The 22,054-nt window shown below is 36.4% G+C and overlaps 1 protein-coding gene across 4 annotated transcripts in view; it reads right to left on the bottom strand.

Moving 5' to 3' along the window:
* GABRB1 (gamma-aminobutyric acid type A receptor subunit beta1) overlaps positions 1-22,054 on the bottom strand; it is a 432,801-nt gene that overhangs the window by 240,898 nt on the left and 169,849 nt on the right. The window contains exon 5 of one of the 4 annotated variants that reach the window (XM_017007986.3): positions 12,386-12,887. The exons of the other annotated variants lie outside the window; for them this stretch is intronic. Within the exon in view, the coding sequence (XP_016863475.1) occupies positions 12,605-12,887 (283 nt within the window). The 3' untranslated portion in view covers positions 12,386-12,604. Of the gene's footprint in view, positions 1-12,385; positions 12,888-22,054 lie in introns of those variants that run through there. 4 annotated transcript variants of the gene reach the window in all.

Genomic DNA, 22,054 nt, shown 5'->3' with positions numbered 1-22,054 from the left:
TGAGCAGTGGATGGCTCTATATATCATATGTCAGGAAGTTTGGATGTTGACCTTTGGATTTGAGACTAAAACTAAATTCATTACTGCATGTGACTGATTTCATGTTAGCTGTGATCTTTAACTCCATGGTAGGGTTGTGGTGCAAACAATCTTACAAGAAGCAGTAGTCTTGGGTCCTATCAGAAATTTACTTGGAAGGAAGGAAAAGGACTAAGAGAAGGAAGGTCACCTTTTTCTGGGAGAGCCAGAAGAATTTTCCAGTGGCCTTTTTGCCTGTGAATAATATTGTGAGGTGTATCCAGCAGCAACATTGAAGGATTTCAGTTAACTTTTGTGTTTGAAAGACTGTCCATTTTCATAAAAATACAGAGAAGAGCATTGAGAAAATAACTACTTGGCAAAGGAAAACCAAAATAATATTTTTCTGAATGTCAGATGCAAGCAGAACATTCTTTGAGGCACAATAGAAGTAAATAAAATTAAAGATACATTTATTGCCTATTTTAGAGGAGTGAAATCCGATATATGTGGCTGTGGGAAGGCCTGTTGCACTTAGGAGGTAATAAAAAGTGAAACACATAACCATGGTATAGCAAAGTAATCGTTTTGTAGATAAAAAAGGGGACCCCTGAGTCCTGACCTGTTTTGCAGCTACTCTGCCTAAAAGATATAATATTCAAAAACCTTATGTATGTGGCAGTCTCTGATCTCATTAACCCCTCCTTGAATGTGGACTCCTGAGGCTATAAAATTCAGGCGTATTTCCGTGAAGGTTGAGGTGGACAGCCTGGGAGCCATGCCATCTGTATCACCAAGTTTTTCAGGTTGAGAAGCAAAGCTAAGGTAATGTAATCTCAGCTCAATACGATGTATCATTTTTCTCTGACTCTTGATCCTGGATTGGCTTCTGTAGTCTAACCCAGCTCATGGGGGTACAACCACAGGTGTTAACAGGAAATCAATTAACTTGCAAAAAGGACTGAGCTGAGCAGGGCTTGACATTAGTTCAGTGTAGTGCTAAAAGAAGTGCTATCACTTGAGTGCATCTTTTAGAGTGAGGCAAAACAAGGTGAGATGGAGCAGCAAAGTTTTATTGTTTTTTGGGAGAATCCAATCATTTCCCCGTCCTTCCATTTATTCATTCGTTCATTTCAACACAATATTACATGTTAGAAACATACCAGTTCTTAAGGGAATGGAGAAATGTATCAAATAGAGCCTTTGTCCTCGGTAATCTGGTAATATAGTTGAGACATAACACATACAAGAAAGTTCAAAGGTCATTGGGTGTTACGGTTATGAGATAACTAATGAATAAAACGTTGGCTGTTTTGGCAGACTGGCAGAGTTATAGACAGAAAGAATGATTTCCTTCAATGTTGTTCTGATGTCCAGAAATGGAAACAAAAGAAGCAGATTATTAGAGTGACCAGGTGTGGTCACTAGCCTTTAGAGGTGGTAAAAGATTTTAATTTACAGTGGGAATCACTTTATAATAGCCAATCATGACATTCTGAGTGAACAGGACTCAAATGTAGATGAATTAGGAAGAGATCAAGAACTGGAGTAACAAAGTGAAGAACTTCCAGTTGAGGGCTTATGGGAGACTAACTGAGTGAAGAGATTAAAGTAATAAAGCAAGTAGTCCAAGTATGGACTTTCCAGCATGTTTTTGACATGAAAGAAGCTGGAGGTCAATGAAATTAAGTGGTCTATGGTATTATCTATTTGAATGTAGAAGCCACTGACCTCAAAGTGGAATAGAACCGAAAAGCAAAACTGAGTTATGTGAGTTGTATAGGAAGGTAGCCATGAGTTCATGTGGATGTAAGGCAACACTAGCAGGGATTGAGAGGTGATATTGACAGATGTAGAAAGAGGGGAGTAATTTAATATCTTGGAATTAACAATTGGGAAGGAAAAGAAGGTATTTATATGACATTCCATGTCAAGAGTTTGGTAGAATGTGGAAAGGTGGGAACTCCATGGAAGAAATGAATAAATAGGTCATGCTTTTAAAGGAGTAGCAGGTCACAGGTCCAGAAGACAGAAGGGTGCTGGCTATCTTAAATTAAGTGTGGAAGTACCAAATATGAATCAAGAAAGGAGAACTAAGTTTAAAAATAAATGTGCTAAACCAGTAAATATGTATTTATATGAGTGGTGGAATATATATATATATATATATATATATATATATATATGCACACACACATACAGATAAGATGTTATATAATCAGTTCATATATATGTGGTGGAAGAGCTGATAATATATCATCTTATCTATCTATACCACTCTCTTAAATATTAGCAGTTCTCTCACCACCTCAGATACCCCTGAAATGCTTGTGGGTCACAGAGATGTCAGTGAAACATGACATTGCTATTACCTCACTCTTTAATATCTCATCATGTGTTTTTCTCCTTAAACGAAACACCCTACTGAATGAACTACAATCATCAATGTAACCTGAACTTTGACAAATAAGTTAATATACCTACCAGTAACAGTAACATTGGTCTACTTGCAAGAATAATAAATACACAAGAAATCTGTAATTTTTATAGCTGAAGAAAGAGCCTGAATAAATGAATAAATAAACAATTGGCATATGGGAATCTTCAAATGTGGCTAAAAATTCTAGTTTCTTTGGAATTTATGTGTCTGGCTTGCTTTGTGTGTTGAGGTTTAGCTTGTAAAAGCACTATATAAAAATCTCTGAACTGTTAGAGTTTTCTCTGTTATAACACTGACAAAAAGGCTCATTCTTAGGTATGTAATTAAATTTTTTTAACTATTAAAGCAACTTATTACCTTGCTTTAATTGCCATTATTTAGTCACCCTTTTTTTGTCTGATTTGAACTTTGTCAGCAGAGAGATTTTGGATGAGAAGAAGTAAGTTAACATTTTGCATCAACCTTGGTATTATGTGCAAAGGGTAACAGAAAAACTCTGAGAGAAGGACCAGAATAATTATAACAAAATTCCACAATAAATCTATTCACTATGCTGTGGAATAAGATTTTATCTTCTGAGTCAAATAATATTCCCTATGCACATAAAAAGCAAAATCTCTTCTGTTCTAAATATCAAGGAAGATCTACCACTTGGTAAACATGAGATTCTCATGGATCATTTGCTCATCAATTAAAAAATAAAATATTTTTTACTCTTTGGTTGAAAATCTGAATGTCATACCTTTTTTCTGCAGTGTGAAACCATGAATCTCTACTGCATCATATTATCCTGAATTTAAAAGGCATCACATTAGTAGTAATCAATAGTATACCAGGTTTTCACTTCCCCCAAAATACCCAGAAATTTCTCTCATGCTTTTCTGAGCGATCCCAGGAAATGGCTCTCATGCTGTCAAGAACAAATCCTTTTAACCTCAACAAGACAAGGTCACCCACTTTTGGGTACAAAGTTATCAGTGCCTCTAGTCATAGAATCTAAGCAAAAACAGGGGATCAGATTATGCCTTCTGCATTTCCAAGATCTGTGTCTGTGTTAAGTTGCTGCTCTGGCTGGGGCCACAACACTACACCATACTGCAGGAAAAGACTAGAACATTGGCCATCCAAACACAGTTGGATCCCTTAACTAAGTATCTTTGAGCAAGACATGAATATAGCCACTCCCCGCTAGAAGTTTGGGGCTGAATCTTCCAAACACCTGCTGCATTATGAGGTGATTACAACCCATGATGCTTGCAGGAAAATTCTCCCGGGGAAGATGATTTAATGAGCAAAATTTAGCAAACACACAGATAAAACAAATGTCATTAAATCTTGCCTTTGAGGAAATAGTAATCAGAATGCTAATCATTACAACAATAGCAGCTATTTATGAGCACAAATTATGCACCAGGTATGGTACTAAATGCTTTGCAATTATTTCTCATTATTGCCCTTACAACCCTATGCGATAGGCACTACTATTTTTGCCCTCTTATGGATGAGAAAAGTGAAAGAAGATTAAATAATTACATGAGCAAAGAGGTACTAAATGATGGAACGAGAATTAGAACTCAGGCATCCAACTCCAGTGTCTACATTCTTTGTCACTTCGCTCTATTGCCATCTGAAAGGACTTTGGTTTACATATAATTAACATTTCCAAACAGATTAAAGAGTAAAAAGCATAAATAGAGTAATTAAAACTATTTAGGTGGTTGTAAAAACCCATTAAAGCATGTAAATTAAAAATATGGCAATTAAAATAAAAGTTCAAATGATGAGCCAACTGGAATAACGGATATAACTGAAGCCTGAACTAAAACAAACATTAAGTTGAAGAAATGCCTAGGATTCCGTTCAAAAAAGGAAAAGATATTATTAGAAATATTAAGAAACATAAATGAACTCATCCAGAAGCTCCAACATAAGACTAGTAGGAGCTATAAAAGGAAAGTATAGAGAAAATGGTGATAAGCCAATCTTTGGAGATATGATAGCTGAGATCTTACCAGAATTAATAAAGTATCTGAGTCTTTAATTTGAATACAGTATCCCAGAGTGCTGACCAGGCTTTTAAAAAAATCACCCAAAGCCCCATACCAAGGCACATTATAATGAAATCAAGTACAGGATCAATAATAGAGAGAACATTCTAAAATACAATAGAAAGAATGCATTTTTTATTAGTGTTAATCTTAATTCAAAAGATAGTGAAAATGAACTGCCAAAGTTATCTGTAAAAATATCTTAGAAAGTAGAATTCTACCACCTGTCAAAGCTTCATTCATTAATCCAAATCAAGTAAAGACATTTTCTGATGTATTAAATGAAATTATAACTGTGCTTGGCAATAAATATCTTTGAAAACTCTTGGCTATTATTGCAACAGCTATTAACTCCCGTTCAAAACTGTACAGGACTTAGTACTACATTTAGAAAGACCTTAGACAGTACAAAATGAGATAAATATTTTAAAATGTAAAGAAATTTGGTAACAAATTTATAAATGTTAAGTTGATCCAAAGTTAATTTAAAAAGCATCCAAATAACTAAGTCTTTGGAGGTTTTCCTTCTCTTCAGCAGGAACAGTATCAGCAAATTATTACTTTCCGTTTCACAGGAAACTCAGTATTATTTTTGTCTTGTGATGTGAATGCCTTGTGATATTTTTATTTTTAACATTAATGTTTTTTATCAGAAATATTTTTCTCATTGAAGCATATAACATTTTAATGTGTTGCCTCTGTCTTAATATGACTCATTACATTGAAGAATAAATATTTCCACCAAAGTAAGTCAATGGGAAACAGAGTGTGCACTGTAGAAATTTACTTTGGAATAGATTTTTCTGGAATGATTCTCTTCCACTATGTGAATGGGATCTGTGATTATAAAAATATTTGAGCATCCTCTGTATCAGGGTGTTTCTTGTTGCAAAAGAAGTTTTAGATAGAAAAAAAAAAGATTGTGACTAGTGCCTGTGCTGCTGTGCTACTATTTTGTGTATCTGTTCAAAGAGATTGACATCCTCTTAATTTTTTTCTTTTTTGAGACTGGGTTTGGCTATGCTGCCCAGGCTAGTCTGGAACTCATGTGCTCAAGCAATTCTACTGCCTCAGCCTCCTAAATAGCATAATCTTATCTTAATGGATGAATATTAAAGTTCTAGCAATAGTAATTTGGAGTCAAGGCTTACTTGATTTCAATGCTAATTTTAATTTCACTAATAGAGTTAAGAAAGGGAAGAAAACCAGAAAATAGAGTCAAGGCACAGGTTAGTGAGCATTTGAGCATCTCTTCCCAAATTTGTTCTTACAGATGCTGAAGGTCAGGAGAGGAAGGTTTCTCCAGCACTATTTCAGATCCTGAAGTAATTGAGATATGGTCCTATTTACCACCATGCCTATCTAACTGAGCACTGTTGTCTACTTTCCTTAAAACATACTATATAGGAAAGTTATTTTGCTATTTTTTTATTTTGTGTCTTCAAAGACATTGAAAGCAAGTAAAACATATATGTTGGTAAAAGTAAATGACTTAAAAGTATGGCCCATTTGGGTTGGTTCCAAGTCTTTGCTATTGTGAAAAGTGCTGCAATAAACATACGTGTGCACGTGTCTTCACAGTAGAATGATTTATAATCCTTTGGGTATATAACCAGTAATGGGATTGCTGGTTCAAATGGTTATTTCTGGTTCTAGATCCTTGAGGAATCGCCACACTGTCTTCCACAATGTTTGAACTATGCCCTTCAATGATAGACTGGATAAAGAAAATGTGATATAAAAAGGATAGTTCATGTCCTTTGCAGGGACATGGATGAAGCTGGAAATCATCATTCTCAGCAAACTAACACAAGAACAGAAAACCAAGCATCACATATTATCACTCATAAGTGGGAGGTGAACAATGAGAGCACATGGGCACAGGGTGGGGAACATCACACACTGGGGCCTGTCAGGGGGTGAGGGGCTAGGGGAGAGATAACATTAGGAGAAATACCTAATACAGATGATGGGTTGATGGGTGCAGCAAACCACCATGGCACATGTATACCTATGTAACAAACCTGCATGTTCTGCACATGTATCCCAGAACTTAAAGTATGTATAAAAAAAGTATGGCCCATTATTTTTATAGCCATGCTGTACTAACATGTTACATTTCTTGCCAATAAGGATGGAGATAAAAACAGAACATGAAATTGGAACCTGGAACAAAGCGACTCATTATACTGTATTTTCTCTACATTCAACCATAAATGCTACATTCAACCATCGTTCCTAATTTTCTTAAGCTTCTTAGCAGGAAATAAAGTTCTTGGCATCTCATTTGGCATGTGTATTTCTAGATAAAAGAAAGAAAGAAGGCTGATCTTCAAAGACTCTTTATCTTTTCTAAAAATGGCATTCATCGTTGCCCTTTTTATATGGGGTGAATAAAAATGACTCTTTATATTTTCAGCACATACAGCTTCTTTGGTACAGAATTATCCTGTGACACAAAAGACCAAAGTACATAATACTTGAAAATAATGAGCAATAACAGTTTCCTCCACCAAGATAATGGCTTTATTCTTCTTTAGCTCCACTAATCCAATGACAAAAGTCTCAGCACGTACAAAAGAATGAAATTCCTCTTCATTGTCCCATTTGAACAAACCTGGAGAGATTCTAAAGGACAGGAGCGGATATCATCAAAGGTAATGCAAAGGATTCTATAAGGACCATGAGAGAGCCTTCCATTTAATCTTGAAAGTAGCAGAACCTCCTCAGGAAGTGGAACAACACATTAAAGAGATAGACTCTTAACCCAGAGAGCAATTTCTAAGAATAGACATAGTTCCCATTCATTGAGTGTTTATTAGATGACAGGCACTTTGCTACTCATTCCGAATGCATTTTCTCATTTAATGATCTCAATGAGTATGCCCCTTTGGTACTATGATGATCATATTGAAGAAACTGTGGCATACACAGGTGATTGTGCCCAAGGTCATATAACTGACATATTGGAAACTTAGGTAATCATATCCAAAGACTGGCTTCCACCAACATCCATCCTTTTAATCTTAGTTCTATAGCAACATGGAGTTATAATATACATCCTAATCCATTTAATCAGCCTCACACTCGGAACCCAAATCCCTTTTTGCAGCATTCCAGACATGTGCCTGTACTAGCCTAAACAGAGTTTAACAAACATTCCTAGTGATGGAGAGGTTGGAATGAGAGAAAAAACAAACAGAAACATGAAAAAAAAAAAAAAAAAACCACTGTTCTTATTTCACACATAATAGTTCTCATAGGAATTTGAAAGATGGATATCATTACAGCCACTTTATAAGTGAGGAAACTGAGGCTCAGAGAAGTTGAGGAGTCAGTTTTAGGTCATTCTACCAAAAATAATGGAACTGGTTCTCATTTGATTCCAAATCTGAAGTTCTTTCTTTTTTACCAGGTTACCTACCTCTGAAGAGACACTAGTAACAAGTCATTGGTTCCATTTTTGAATAGTTATGCAGCAAAATTTCTTTAGAGTGAACATTTTTCACATTAGGGTCACTAAGGTAAGCAAGTAGAACTAACATATTCTTTGAAGCTTCCACAAGTTCGTCATTGATCTTCTGCTGGAAGCAACACAGTGTAAGTCTAAGCTTTCTTTGAAATGATAGACTTTCAAATCTTTCAGGTGAGTTATATTTCTGTAGTAGCTAGGCTCTTTTTCAGGCCCCTCTTCTCTAGTTCTGCCCACATTTACCCCCAGGTTTCTCAAATATTACTTAAAACTATAGTTATTTTATTCTTACATTATTTAACACAAGCAACTATATTCCATCTGATCTGTGGCTTTGAAGATAAAAAGGTCTAAGAGAGACAATCTTCAGTGCTTCGTTATCTATGCTGCATATGGACAGAGTTCCAAGTCCTTTGCCATTTCAGTTGTGTTCTCAGTGGCCTCTGGATTGTCAATGATGTTCTTAAAATGTGTTATCCAGGACTGAGAAAACAGTACATGAGACCTGACCTTGTGCTCAACTTATATTTCTATTAAAATAGTGGTTGAGCCTGTAGGCCATGAAATCAGATGACTGGTTTCAAATTCAGGCTCAGTTATTTTCCAGCTATCTGATCTTAAGCAAGTTACTTGTTACTGCCTCAGTTTCTTCATTTTAGAAGGAATGAAATGTGACTGTCTATCTTAAGAAATCATTGTGATGATTATATGTTACCACCACATGGACCCATCTGTTCCAGTTTGTACTTGGAGCCTTTCCTTCTCTGCCATTATGAAGAATGAATGGTCCAAGGCTAAGCTTCCATTTTTGGCTCCTTTTGTTAATTCTGCCTTTTCTTCCTAACTCTAAATGTTGAAATACTTCTCCTTTTTCTTGACATTGGACCTCATCTCCATTTTATCTATGCTCTCTTCCTTGGTGAAATAATACAGTCACCAAGGCCATTATATACTAATTACTCCAAATCTAGGTCTCCCTCTTAGACCTCAAACTTCTGCAACTGCCAATCAACCTCTCCACTTACACGTCTACAGGCATTTCAAAAATAACATTTCCAAAACAGAGATCTTTAGTTTATCTCCAGAAGTATTTTGTCTACAGTTTTCCTCAAGTCTGTTCTTTCAGTTCCTTGGGTCAAAAACCTTATAAACATACTGACTACTCTATTTTTTTCACAACCCACATCTAAACTATGAGCAAATCAATCAGTGCACTAATTTCTACCTCTCTCAATAACTGTGTCCTTCTATAATGTGTTAATTATCTTTGTTTTAATAAATTCTAAATCATGCTTGCCTTAACCATTCTAGATGAAATGCAATTTTCATTACCTATCATATAGAAGTTGAATAGTTCTGTTTTCTGACTCTGCTCGTTCATAATACACCACCTGAACTAAGTAATGGGTATAATATACCCAAATACATTTGGACTCTTCAATATGGTCCTATTGAAGAGGCACAAAAGAATTCATTTGTGTGCTCCCTTTGCTAATGGTATTTTCAACGTTCATTTAGAAATGCATTTATAGTTATTTTATGAACAATATAAGAAAAATTAGTTGTGTACAAGTTATGCACCTAATTTTTGACTAAAAATGTTATCCATTAATTTATTTTTCTACTCTTACTTATTTCCAATAATCACCTTCAGTGTAACAATTTGCTACCACCTTGAATATTTAAACAAGTGGCCAAGAGTTCAAAGGGAATTTCTACAGCAGGGTTGTGAACATATTTTAAGTGCAGCAGTACTGACAGACTAAGCATATAGCTTTCTGAGGGAAATATTGTGAAGAGACAACATTCATGTGTGTATCTGTAGGTTGGCCCACAGTGAAAAAGTATTATCCATAATACTGCACACATATTTCTCATATCTCAATGCACTTTATACTCTTAGGAGGAAATCCCCTACTCATGGGCTGTTGAAGAACCTTAATCATTAGAATTAATAATTTTCGTGCAAGTAGTTTTATTTTCATATAAGGTTCCAGTTTCATATAAGGGGTTAACTTTCTCCTTAAAATCTAGTAAACCTGACTACATAAAAGCCAAAGCCATCAGGGAGATAGTGTTAAGAGTAGACACTTTCTAAGTTGAGATTTAAAAATAAGTAAATAACCACTTACCATTTGCTTAATATGTGCTAACTATAGTGTGCATTGTAGGAAAAAGAAATACAAGGAACAGACTCTTTTAAAAAAGATTACAGGGCTGGGGGTGATGATTCATGCTTGTAATCCCAGCATCTGGGGAGGCCAAGGCAGAGGATTGCTTGAGGCCAGGAGTTTGAGACAAGCCTGAGCAACATAGGAAGACCTCATTTCTATTAGAAAGAAGAAAGAGAAGAAAGAGAGAAAGAAAGAAAGAAAGAGAGAGAGAGAAAGAAAAGAAAGAAAGATAAAGAAAGAAGAAAAGAGAGAGGAAAGAAGAAAGGAAGGAAAGAAGGGGAAGGAAGAGGAAGGAAGGAAGGAAACAAACAAGGGAGGGAGGAAAGGAGGAAGGAAAGAAGGGAGGGAGGGAAGGAGGGAGGGAGGAAGGAAGGAAGAAAGAAGGAAGAGAGAGGAAGGAAGGGAGGAAGGAAGGAATGATGAAAGGAAGGAAGAAAAGAAGGAAGGAAGGAGGAGGGAAGGAAGGAAAGAAGGAAGGAAGGAAGGAAAGAAGGAAGGAAGGAAGGAAAGAAGGAAGGGAGGGAGGGAAGGGAGGGAAGGAGGGAGGGAGGAAGCCTATAGTGCAGGGCACTGACAACTGACAACTGAATATGTCAAACAGGAGCCTTTGAAATACCCTACCCAGCAAAAATCCTAAGAATGACACAAGAAGATTACAGATGCTCTGCAACTTGTGATGGCAATATGTCTCAATAAACCCATAGTAAGCGAAAAATACCTTGAGTTAAAAATGCATTTAGAATCCCCAATAAACCTATCATCAAGTAAAAAAAAAATCATCTAAGTCAAATGATTATAAGTTGGGGACCATCTTTAAACTATTTTTGAAGAGATCAGACTAATACCTGTGAAACAATATCTAATTAAACATTTTATAATTATATGCTATATGGTAAGATTTCCAATTTCTATAGAACTGTGAGGAGGGGTATCTACAAGAGTTGAAGTAGTTATAGAAGTTGGAAGATGAGCAGTGTACAGTTAAAAGGAAAATGAAAAATATTTATTGTTGAGTTAAAAAGAAACAAAGCAAAGCTGGGTGTGGTGGGTCACACCTGTAATCCCAACACTGCAAGGCCCAGGAGGGAGGGTTGCTTGAGGCCAGGCATTTAAGCCACCTTGGGCAATATAGGAAGAACACATATCAACAAAAAATAAATGATGACACAAAAAATTAGCTGGGCGTGTGCCTGTGGTGCCAGCTACTTGGAAGGCTGAGGCAGGCATATTGCTTAAGCCTGGGAGGTTGAGGTTGCAGTGAGCCATGATTGCACCACTGAACTCCAGCTGGGCAACAGAGTGAAATACTGTTTCACTCTTTCAAGAAGCCAGAAAAGGGAACAAAAAAAACAAAAAAGGGAACAATTGAACAGAGACTTGGAATTAAAATTCTGATTAGTAATTAAGGAAAATGAAGGAAAAACAATAGTTGTGATATAAAGTTTCATGGTTAGGCAAAATCAGAGACTATGTTTGAGACTATGTAACAAGGGTAGATTTAATTGAGAAGTGTCAAGTCTGGAGAGGAATTTCAACTTGATGTGGTGGATAATGGAGAATCAATCTGTTTCTGAGCAGGGCAGCAGTGTGATGAAATTGCACTTTAGAAAAGCAAATCAGCTAACGATATGTAGGATACAACAGGAAGAAGAGAGAACAGGGGCACAAGAACAGGTAGAAAACTCAAATAAACGAAGCATGAGTGAGGTCTTTGGGAACAATTTTTGGGCCTGAGGCACTTCTGAACAAATGCAGCAGACATCACTTTTAAAATAACTTAGAATTTTGAGTTTTGTGATTTTTTAAAATCTGGAAGTGACTTGTAGATATCATGTCACATTTGGAGGCATTTAATGAATAATTTTAATTTTGATATCAGTTTTCCATTTTTGTGCCATTAAGCCTTGTGTTTCATGTCTTAAATATTTTCAGAAAATGTTGAATAGTTGTCAGGCCCTATGTCTGTTGTGCTGGAAAATAAGATATTCTTGAACCAAAAGAGATGAAATTCCTTTGTCCTAGTGTTGTCCATACTTTAGTTGAAAAGGCAGAGACATGTAAATAACATATATACGGTGATAACACCTTAAGGGGCTCATTAATCCTCAGATTCCACTTAGTTACTGAAGTTTAATCATCTAAATATTCAAAGCAGATGTTTGTATTGTAGAACAAAAAATTTCTCTCTTCAATAATCCTTTGGTGTTTAAAACGAACAAACAACTAACTCAGCTTTAAGCAACTTTATACAACTTTATTTAAAAAGGGGTAAGAATTTGGGAATTTAATTAAAAAATAGAATTTACATGAATTTTTGTTATTGTTACTATCTTGAAATGGTTACCACTACTTTGCAAATAGAAGAAAATGGACCAGGCAGCTCTCTCAGCTCCAGTTCTTTGTGGTTTTGTTACAGGTGGGCTCTACCCTAATAGCTCTATCCCTGTCTTTATTAAAAAGAAGAAAAAAGATTTAGAAAAGATAAACCTGCACTTTGGGTGGCCGAGGCAGGTGGATCATCTGAGGTCAGGAGCTCAAGGCCAGCCTGGCCAACATGGTGAAACTCCGTCTCTACTAAAAACACAAAAATTAGCTGAGCATGGTGGCGCATGCCTGTAATCCCAGCTACATGGGAGGCTGAGGTAGGATACTCGTTTGAACCTGGGAGGTGGAGGTTGCTTCGAGTTGAGACCGTGCCACTGCACTTCAGCCTGGGCGACATAGGAAGACTCCATCTCAAAAAAAAAAAAAAAAAAAAAAAAAAAAGTTAAATCTAAACTTGTCCTAGAAGATATAGAAATGCAAGGCCTACTTCATTAAACATAAAGCTGCTTATTTAGTAGAACTGCATGTGCTGGAAAGGCCAAAGCATGCTCTACTTAGTGAGCAACACTCACAGTTTACAAGCAGGGGTAAGGAAAACAAGAGTTATTTAGGCAAAGCCTATTTTCTTCTCAAAATGTGTTTTGTGAGTTGAACCACTCAGGAGGATGAGGCACTACTTCCTGTAAATATGGTACTTGTTGTTCGATTACTTTTTTAGGTGTAACAAAGCAATATTAAGCTTACTGCAAATATATCCTATTAACTTCAATCAGATTACTTAGATTGATATACAAAAATAAGCCAATATTTTTCTAAATGCTCTAGCCTTAAAAATATGTTTATTGTATTTTAATGGTACTTATCATTCCAGAAATCCTCTGTGACATTCTGTTTTAGTGTAAAGTAAAGTACTGTTTCCAAAATGATGATGGGATGCTGCGTAATCCATAAACAGCATGTTACATGGATACAAAATAGGACACCTCTATATCTAGAGTGTTATAGTGCCATAACACTTGAAAATAAGAAATGACATACCAGGCTTATTATTATATTTGATATACAAACGACAGTGGAATTTTAGGCTTAAGAAACACTCTTTGATACATAAAATATACATAAAATAGAAGTTGAATTGCAACCCAGCCAAATGGTGGCTTCTGGATGACTATTTCACAATCTGGGATACATACTATTGATTGAAGCAAACCTAGCTTTAATATCGTGCTCAAAAAGTTTATAAGGAAAACTTAGGCTTTTATTTTGATAATGATGATGTAAGCAACATGTGTTACATAGGCGATAGTATTATCTCAATTCTATAAATGAGGAACTATCATTGTAAATGGAACATGAATACAAATTTTTTAATTTTAATAAAATGCGTTGCTTAGATGTATATTTAAACATAATGATTTCCCATATAAAGAGCTAATGAAAGTTTTCTTTAAAAATATGTATGAATTTATACATGTATACACATCAATACATACATAAATAATAAACAAGTCAATATTTTTTAATGATGTGCAGTTGTGGCAAAAATCATGGAAGTGGTACTAAAATACTAAATTTGAAATGACGGTTTAATGAAATAAGATGAGAGTCCTGCAGAAGACTACTTGAAAAATTTCATAAATGGTTTTCAGAATCTGATACATCTTCTCAAGAAGTGGTGTCATTTCTAATAATATAACTAAGATGTAAAATTCATAACATTTCTGAGATATTTGTTTTTTCTTTTCTTTTCCTTCCTTCCTTTTTTTCTTACATTCTTTATCTAAGTCTTTTCTTTTTTTTTTGAGAACTGACATTTGATATTCTTCCACGAGACATACAATCAAGGTCAGGAATTTGGGGAGATGTAGCTCTTATTTTTTTGGTTACTGTTTGTATTTAATCTTCTGCATTAATTTAATTAGGAAGGTTTAATCACAATGATACATCCACAAATAACATACTCACACAATAGCTGTAATAACTGCATAATTATTTCAGTTGCTCATTTAATGTTTTACTTGGTTACAATGCCATATATACCAAAAAAGATATCGTAATATCATTTAATTATAAAGTTTTCCATATACATAAATGAATAAAGAACATCAAAATAAAAACTTTGAGAGGCAAAAATTGCAGTTCTTTCACTGGAGAACATTTTGAATAGCTTTCTCTCTACTCCAGTGATGAAACTCTAAAATACAAGCCAACTAAACTGTGAGGGGAATATCAACACTGTGTCCTTTAGTGGGAATTGTAAAGTCTCCAGGCATTCTTTCTAATAAACTGAGTTACCTATTCTTTATGTACGGTCTGCTGTTTCTCTCTTCCATTTGAAATAGCAGGTTTCTTTCTCTTAACAAGATGCATTTGTCAATAACAGCCAAGCTTCCTCTGCAAATACTACATCAACTCTCATATTTATTTCCTGCAATCAACCGCACAGTATTTTTACCTAGCATATCTCACAGTAAGCCTTGTGAGATCTGCCCAGGACTTTTGAATGTAATCATAATTTCTTCTCTACAGGGAAAGTCTGTAGAAGAGAGAAACAATTTCTTTCACTGTGGATAATCAATACAGAGAGCTAATGTTAGACATTTAGGACCCCAAACTGCTTTAAAAATCAATAATGTGTGTGTGTGCGTGTGTGCGTGTGTGTGTGTGTGCGTGTGTGTGTGTGTGTGTGTGTAGTGGATCTGTATTATCAAGATAATTGCCCATATTTTTTACTTTGCTTTATCATGAAGACTAAGGCAAGATGAGATGATTCTCCAAGGAATAGTGAAAAACTCGTCTTTCTTTTACATTCAGTAAGTGTAGCCATTGATTTTATTCTCACACACAATCCGTGGTCAGACACTGCCAAGAATATAAAAAAATTGATTCGAAATAGAGCCAGGTAAACAAATATGGTAGAGGAGTTATCAAAATCCTCATCAGGTCACAGGTTTTTAGTTAACATTAGACTCATTTCCAAAATCTGAAGCAGAATGGCTTCTCTTTGTAATTTAGAATCATTAGTATGAATTAGAAAAGCCAAAAAAATTGTATACATTTTTTTAAAAGCTCACACACTTGGCAGAGCTACTCCCATTTAGGCTGTCTACCTTCTGCAGTTAGTTTCATTTCTATAATGGTGAGCAGTGAAATCACCATACATAGACAACTGTCTTCCTAGAAATGATGTGCAGGGACAGTAAGATGCCTTATGCCAGGGCTGAGAGTGTAGACTCTGGAGTGAGAAGACTTGGGCTAAAAATGCTTTCAAGGCCGGGCACGGTGGCTCATGCCTGTAATCCCAGCACTTTGGGAGGTCAAGGCGGGGGGATCACCTGAGATTAAGAGTTCGAGACCAGCCTGGCTAACATGATGAAACCCCGTTTCTACAAAAATACAAAAAATTAGCTGGGTGCGGTGGCACGTGCCTGTAATCCCAGCTACTCGGGAGGCTGAGGCAGGAGAATCGCTTGAACCTGGGAGGCAGAGGTTTCAGTGAGCCAAGATTGTGCCATTGCACTCCAGCTTGGGCAACAAGAGCAAAACTCAGTCTCAAAAAAAAAAAAAAGTGCCTTCCACATTTATGGTGGCTTTGCAAAATCACTTTGTAAGGTACAGAGTGGTTGGCATAGTGTGCTACCTTTTAAACAAAGGAAGGTATAAGAATATGAGACAACAAAATACTAACCCTTGGTGGTCACATTTGGAAGATTTTATGGAAAATAACTTGTTTAGAAAACTGCTAAATAAGAGGAAGCAGTCAAGCATTTATCCTGCTTTCACTGTACAAACTCTACCTCAAGATAATCAAATAGTCAGTGAGTTCAGTCCTTTTTTAGAGAGTAGTATAGTTCATAAATAAAGAAGAGATGATAGAATATCTCCATTTTGCAAATGCTAAATAGGTTTAGAAAATTATTATCAGTTGCTATTATGGGTTGAATTGTGTCTCGTCAAATTCATATGTGGAAGTCCTAAACCTCCGTGACTTAGAATATGACCTTATTTGAAAATAGAGTCTTTAGAGGGGTAATCAAGTTGAAGTGAGATCATTAGGGTGGGTCCTAATCCAATATGACTGGTGATGGCTGGTGTCCTTACAAAAGGGGGACATTTAAGTACAAATACACATAGAGGGAAGATTATGTGGAGACACAGGGGGAAGATGGCTATTTATGCACCAAAAAGAGAGGTCTGAAACAGACCTTCTCCTCAGAGCCCTCAAAATGAACCAATTCTGCCAACACCTTGATTTTTTATTTCTAGCTTCCAGAACTGTGAGACTATAAATTTCTACTGTTTAAGTTATCCAGTTTGTGGTACTTTGCTACAGCAGCCCCAGCGAAGTAATACAATTACATTAAAATTAATATAAGTGGATAGATCACGCTGTCAATATATCTGAATCTGCTCATCAATCTTCGTATCATCAAAGAAGACAGTCAGGCATTTTGGGTCCCTTCATAGAAGTATACTATACTGCCTATGAAGCAGTCTTGCCAAAACACAACCCTAAAAGCAGGTAATCTAAATCTGATCAAGTCTTAATATAGGAGATGGAGATAGAGAAAGACATTTACAATAAGGGAATATAATCACAAACATGACATCATTTCTTCAAAAAATAATTTACAAGGGGGGCTAAAAAGGGAAGAGAAGAAACTGTAGAGTAAAAGAGATGTGAATGTTAACGATTTAGCAGCCAAATGCAATGTGTGTACTCTTTGGGACCTACTTTTAAAAAGTAAAGAAGTAACAAATTATGAGACAGTAAAATTTACTTTTGATCTCCCAGTGTTGGAATCTTTAGTATTAGCTTAATAGTAGTACATAGCTCATAGTGTTGCAGTAAAGATGACATACGACAATATAGGTGAGCATTAAGCATTGTGTCTGTTATATAATATATTTTCAATTACTTATTTACATGGGTTTTGGTTAAATTTCATGATACAATTGCCACTAATATTAGTTAAAATGATACTGTATGTACATCTCACTCTGTATATACTTACAATGTATGCATAACAGACCTACATACACACTCAACAACACAAGTACAGAGACCTGATGTGGAGCAGTATTGGAATGGAAGGCTTTTCACTTCCCATCTTAGTCCATTTTGTGTTGCTATAACAGAATACCATGAACTGGGTAATTTATAATAAACAGAAATTTACTGGCTCCCAGTTCTGGAGGCTGAGCAATCCAAGATTCCCTAGGGAGCTGCATCTGGTAGGGCCTTCTTGCTGAATCATAGGATGGCAGAAGGGGAAATTGAGAGAGCAAGAAAGAGAGAAAGTGGGCACGGGAGACAAAACACATATGCTAGAGGGGGCACACCAACTCCCATGAAAAGCTTTAGTCCATTTGCAAGGATGGAGCCCTTATGACCTAGTCACCCCTTAAATATCTCTGCTCTCCAAACTGTCACAATGGCAATTACATTTCCATATGAGTTTTGGAGGAAACAAACATTCAAACCACAGCATTCCTCATTCCACTAGCTGTTTGCACACATTCATTTTTAATTCCTCAAAACCACCTGGCCCTGGGCTCACGTCTGGTAAAAGAAGAAGGAAGGATCACTGTGGAACTTTGAAAGAAAAGCAATTGTAGGGGCTAGGAGGAGAAGGCAAAAAATTTAAAAAGGCATTTTTTTTTTCAAGGAGGTTAAATGCTCCACTAAATGTCTTCTCAGAATTAAATTCCTCCGTGCCTGCCATTTTCAGGGAAAGATAAACACAGTGTTTCAGCGCGCACATGGCTGGGGCTTGGAGAGAATAAGTGTATGCAACCATCTGGACCATGTTTGGAGAAGAGGCAGAATACATCTGGTCATTAATAGTGATAATTGCTCTTTGGTTACAAGCCATCATGTAGATATAGAAAATGTTGCAGCTGACAACTATTGTGAATCAGGTGACTGCATCCTACAATTTTTAATTTCATTTCTACAAACATTTATTGGGCATCTATTTGGTTTGAGAGAGAGGATACAAAGTTTAAGGAAATACAATTCACATTTTCAACAAATACACAATCCTGTACATCAGTGGAAAATGACTACAGAAAGATAAAACATTGTAAGAGAGTTATGAATTTCAATTTGTAAGATTAAATTGCAGTAGGGCATCAAATGAGAGAGAGTTTTCATCTGGTTAGGAAAACTGTGAAAGTTCTCATGGAGAAAGTGGAATTTGAGGGAGACTTTGAAGCAACAGTAAGATGGGAAAAGGTGGTGGAGTGGGGGCAGAGAAGGGAGGGCATCGGTAGGGCTGTAGGGTTACCAGGTAAAATACTGGTTTCCCAGTTATATTTGAATTTTAGAGAAATGACAAATAATTTTTGTAGTATAATTACCATTGAACAATGTAGGGATTAAGGGCTCTTACACCCCTCATGCAATCAAAAATCCATGTATAACTATGGACTCTCTCACAATGTAACTATTAATAACATACTGATAACACCTTACTAATAAAAAGACTTACTAATAATGTAAACAGCAACAAACACATAATTTACATTATAGGTCTTTATTTTTACAATAAAGTAATCTAGAGAAAATAAAATGTCATTAAGAAAATCATAAGGAAGGGAAAATATATTTGCTATTTATTGAGTGAAAATGGATCATCATTAAGGTCTTCATCCTCATAGTCTTCACACTGAGTAGGCTGAGGAAGAGGAGGAAGAAGAAGGGTCCTTCTTGCTGTCTCAGGGGTGGCAGAAGTGGATGACAGGGAAGAGGTGGAAAGGGAGGCGGGAGAGGCAGGCACATTCAGTGTAACTTTTATTGAAAAAAAATCCTCCAATAAATGGACTTACGCAGTTCATCCCATGTTATTCCTGAGTCAACTGTATATTCCATGAAATGTTTATGGGATAAAATATTTAAAACATACTTAAGCTTGAAATGCCTCAGATATGTTTACAGAAATAAGCAGAGGGTCTTAGATTTCTGAAAGAGGAACCATTTTTTTTTCTAGGCGAAATAAGATGGCAATAATGAGAAAAATTGAGATAGGAAATGGGCCAGGAAGTGACAGATAGTGAGGATGTTAATTTAGATGGTAGAAGTGATTTGGAAATAGAGAAGATTGAGATAGAGTGGAATTGAAGCAACAGATTAAGTCTCAGTGACAAAAGAGACGTGGAATTACAGTTGCCTTCAAGTTTATGTCTATTGAATGGGATAATGGTAATTTCATTAGCACTTGGGAAAGGAGGACGGCCCAGTTTTGAGAAAATCAAATGATATGAACTAGAGGTCATGTGAGGAGGAGCTGGCAGGCAATCCAAATACAGGTGCTCAGTGAGCAATTGGAAATTTTGGAAACTCAGTGGTTTGGGAGGTTAGATATTTAAAGCTGTTAAACTCAATAAACTGATCAAATCGTGAAGAATCCTTACAGTTCCCAATTAGTGGCAAAAGAGGAGTCAATAATGAAATAACAAAAAGACAGAAGAACAAGAATAATTTAAAAATTGGGCTGGGTCTTGGAAGTCCTGAAGTCAGAGTCAGTCATTACTCTTAAAGCATTCGGAGAAGTCAAGAGTAGAGATTGAGAACCAGTGATTGTTTTGGTAATTTTTGGCAGAGTTGTTATAGGAAAGTAGCATGGATGGGAACCATGTTGTTGGAGATAGAGGAGTAATGTGTAGTGAGGCAGTAGAAGAAACCAAAGCTGTGAGAAAACTGGTGCTCAAAGCAGAAACTGAAGAGAGGGAGTCAACAGAGAGGAAGGGCTGGAGAGGTAGATAAAATGGGGGAGCAAAGTCTGTAAAGAGTGTGTACCAAGAAGATTACATGCAGACATGGAGAGATTAGCCTTAGAAAAAAGAGAAAAATCCTCCTCCAAGTTAAGTGGAAGTAAGGGAGGAAAAACAGAAGAATTTTAAGTGACATAGACGGAGGTGATATTGTATAGTCTCCGCTTTTAAGTAAGAAAGGAAATGACATCATGTGTTCTGAAAAGACCAAGGTAAATGGCTCATGGCACATGGACTAAAGTTCTGGTCTCCTAACACAACTTACGGCACATCATGGACGTTCTTTATTTAGATTCCCCACCTAAATGGAGGAGGAATTACTAGAGGTTACTGGGTTACTCTTTTGTGTAATACGTTTTGTCACAGGAGGGTGACCTAAGGGCAAGAGGCACAAGGAATGAAGTCTCTCCCAAGGGCCGAATATCTGTTGCATAGTAGCCTGGTTCCTCTAGAAGTGCCAGTCCCTTACCAGACACCATTCTGTTATGTCAGAGTGTTTACAGGACTATGTGCCATCCCTTTGGTGAAAAATATGAATTGACATAGTTCACAAAAATAGACAACTGACTCTATTCTTCTGGCTTCATGTAAGTTAAGTTATAGTATCTCATATTGAGCTTACCGAGTTTGAATATAGCAACAAATTGATTTTGTTTAATGACATGCTGTTACGATTATGGAATACCTAGCCAAAGGCTTTCCAGTGCATTCAGAACATCTCATTGATCCCATGATTGCTAAAACCTGCTCATTAATATATGGACCCGTTCATGATGACTATGAGCTGGACTGATGGAAAGGAATAAGACAAGAAGTTTGATTCTCTTAATTACTCATGCCTAAAATAAATACAGCTATAAATATGCCAATATGTTATATGATAAGGATATTCTTATATGTGTGCTTAGGAGGTGACAACAGATATTCTTTAAAAGACTCTTACCTAGGAAAAATGCAGACTGTCATTTCTTAGACTAGGAAATGTTACATCAGGGGAATTAAAATGAACATGCCCTAATACATAGGATCACAGAAGCAATGGAATTTGCGTTTAGTAGGTGATATAGTTTGGTTCTGTGTCCTGCACCCAAATCTCATCTTGAATTGTAATCCAAATTGTAATCCCCAGGTGTCAAGGGAGGGCCCGGTGGGAGGTAATCGGATCATAGGGGTGATTTCCCCATGATGTTCTTGTGATAGTGAGTGAATTCTCATGAGACCTGTTTTTTTTGGTAAGTATGGGGTTCCTCCCCCTTGGTATTCTCTCTCCCACCTGCCACCATGTAAGACATGCCTGCTTCCTCTTCTGCTATGATTGTTAAGTTTCCTGACACCTCCCCAGCCATGCAGAACTGCGAGTCCATTAAACCTCTCTTGTTTGTAAATTACCTAGTCTTGGGTAGCATCTTTATAGCAATATGAAAACAGACTAATACAGTAGGAAATTTAGGAACAGTTTCATCCAATCACTTTTTTTTAAGGTTGGTGGATCTGAAGCCCAGGGAGGTGAAATGGCTTACTGAAGGGCATCAACTGGTTAGGCCACAAGTCTCTTGACTCAAAGTCCCAAGTGTATTCCACTGAAAAGTTTCTTTTTTCTTTAAAATTTTAGATTTAGGAGGTACATGTGCAGGTTTGTAACATGACTATATTGTATGATGCTGAGGTTTGGGCTTCTGTTAAACCCATCACCCAAATCATGAATATAGCACTCAATAGGTAGTTTTTCAACACTTGCCACACTCCCCTTCTCCCCACTCTTGGAGTACCCAGTATCTATTGTCTTCAGCTCTATGTCCAC

This window comes from Homo sapiens, chromosome 4 (genome assembly GCF_000001405.40).
Source record: "Homo sapiens chromosome 4, GRCh38.p14 Primary Assembly".
NCBI classification, from domain to species: domain Eukaryota; kingdom Metazoa; phylum Chordata; class Mammalia; order Primates; family Hominidae; genus Homo; species Homo sapiens.
This window is presented reverse-complemented; position numbering and strand designations above follow the sequence as displayed.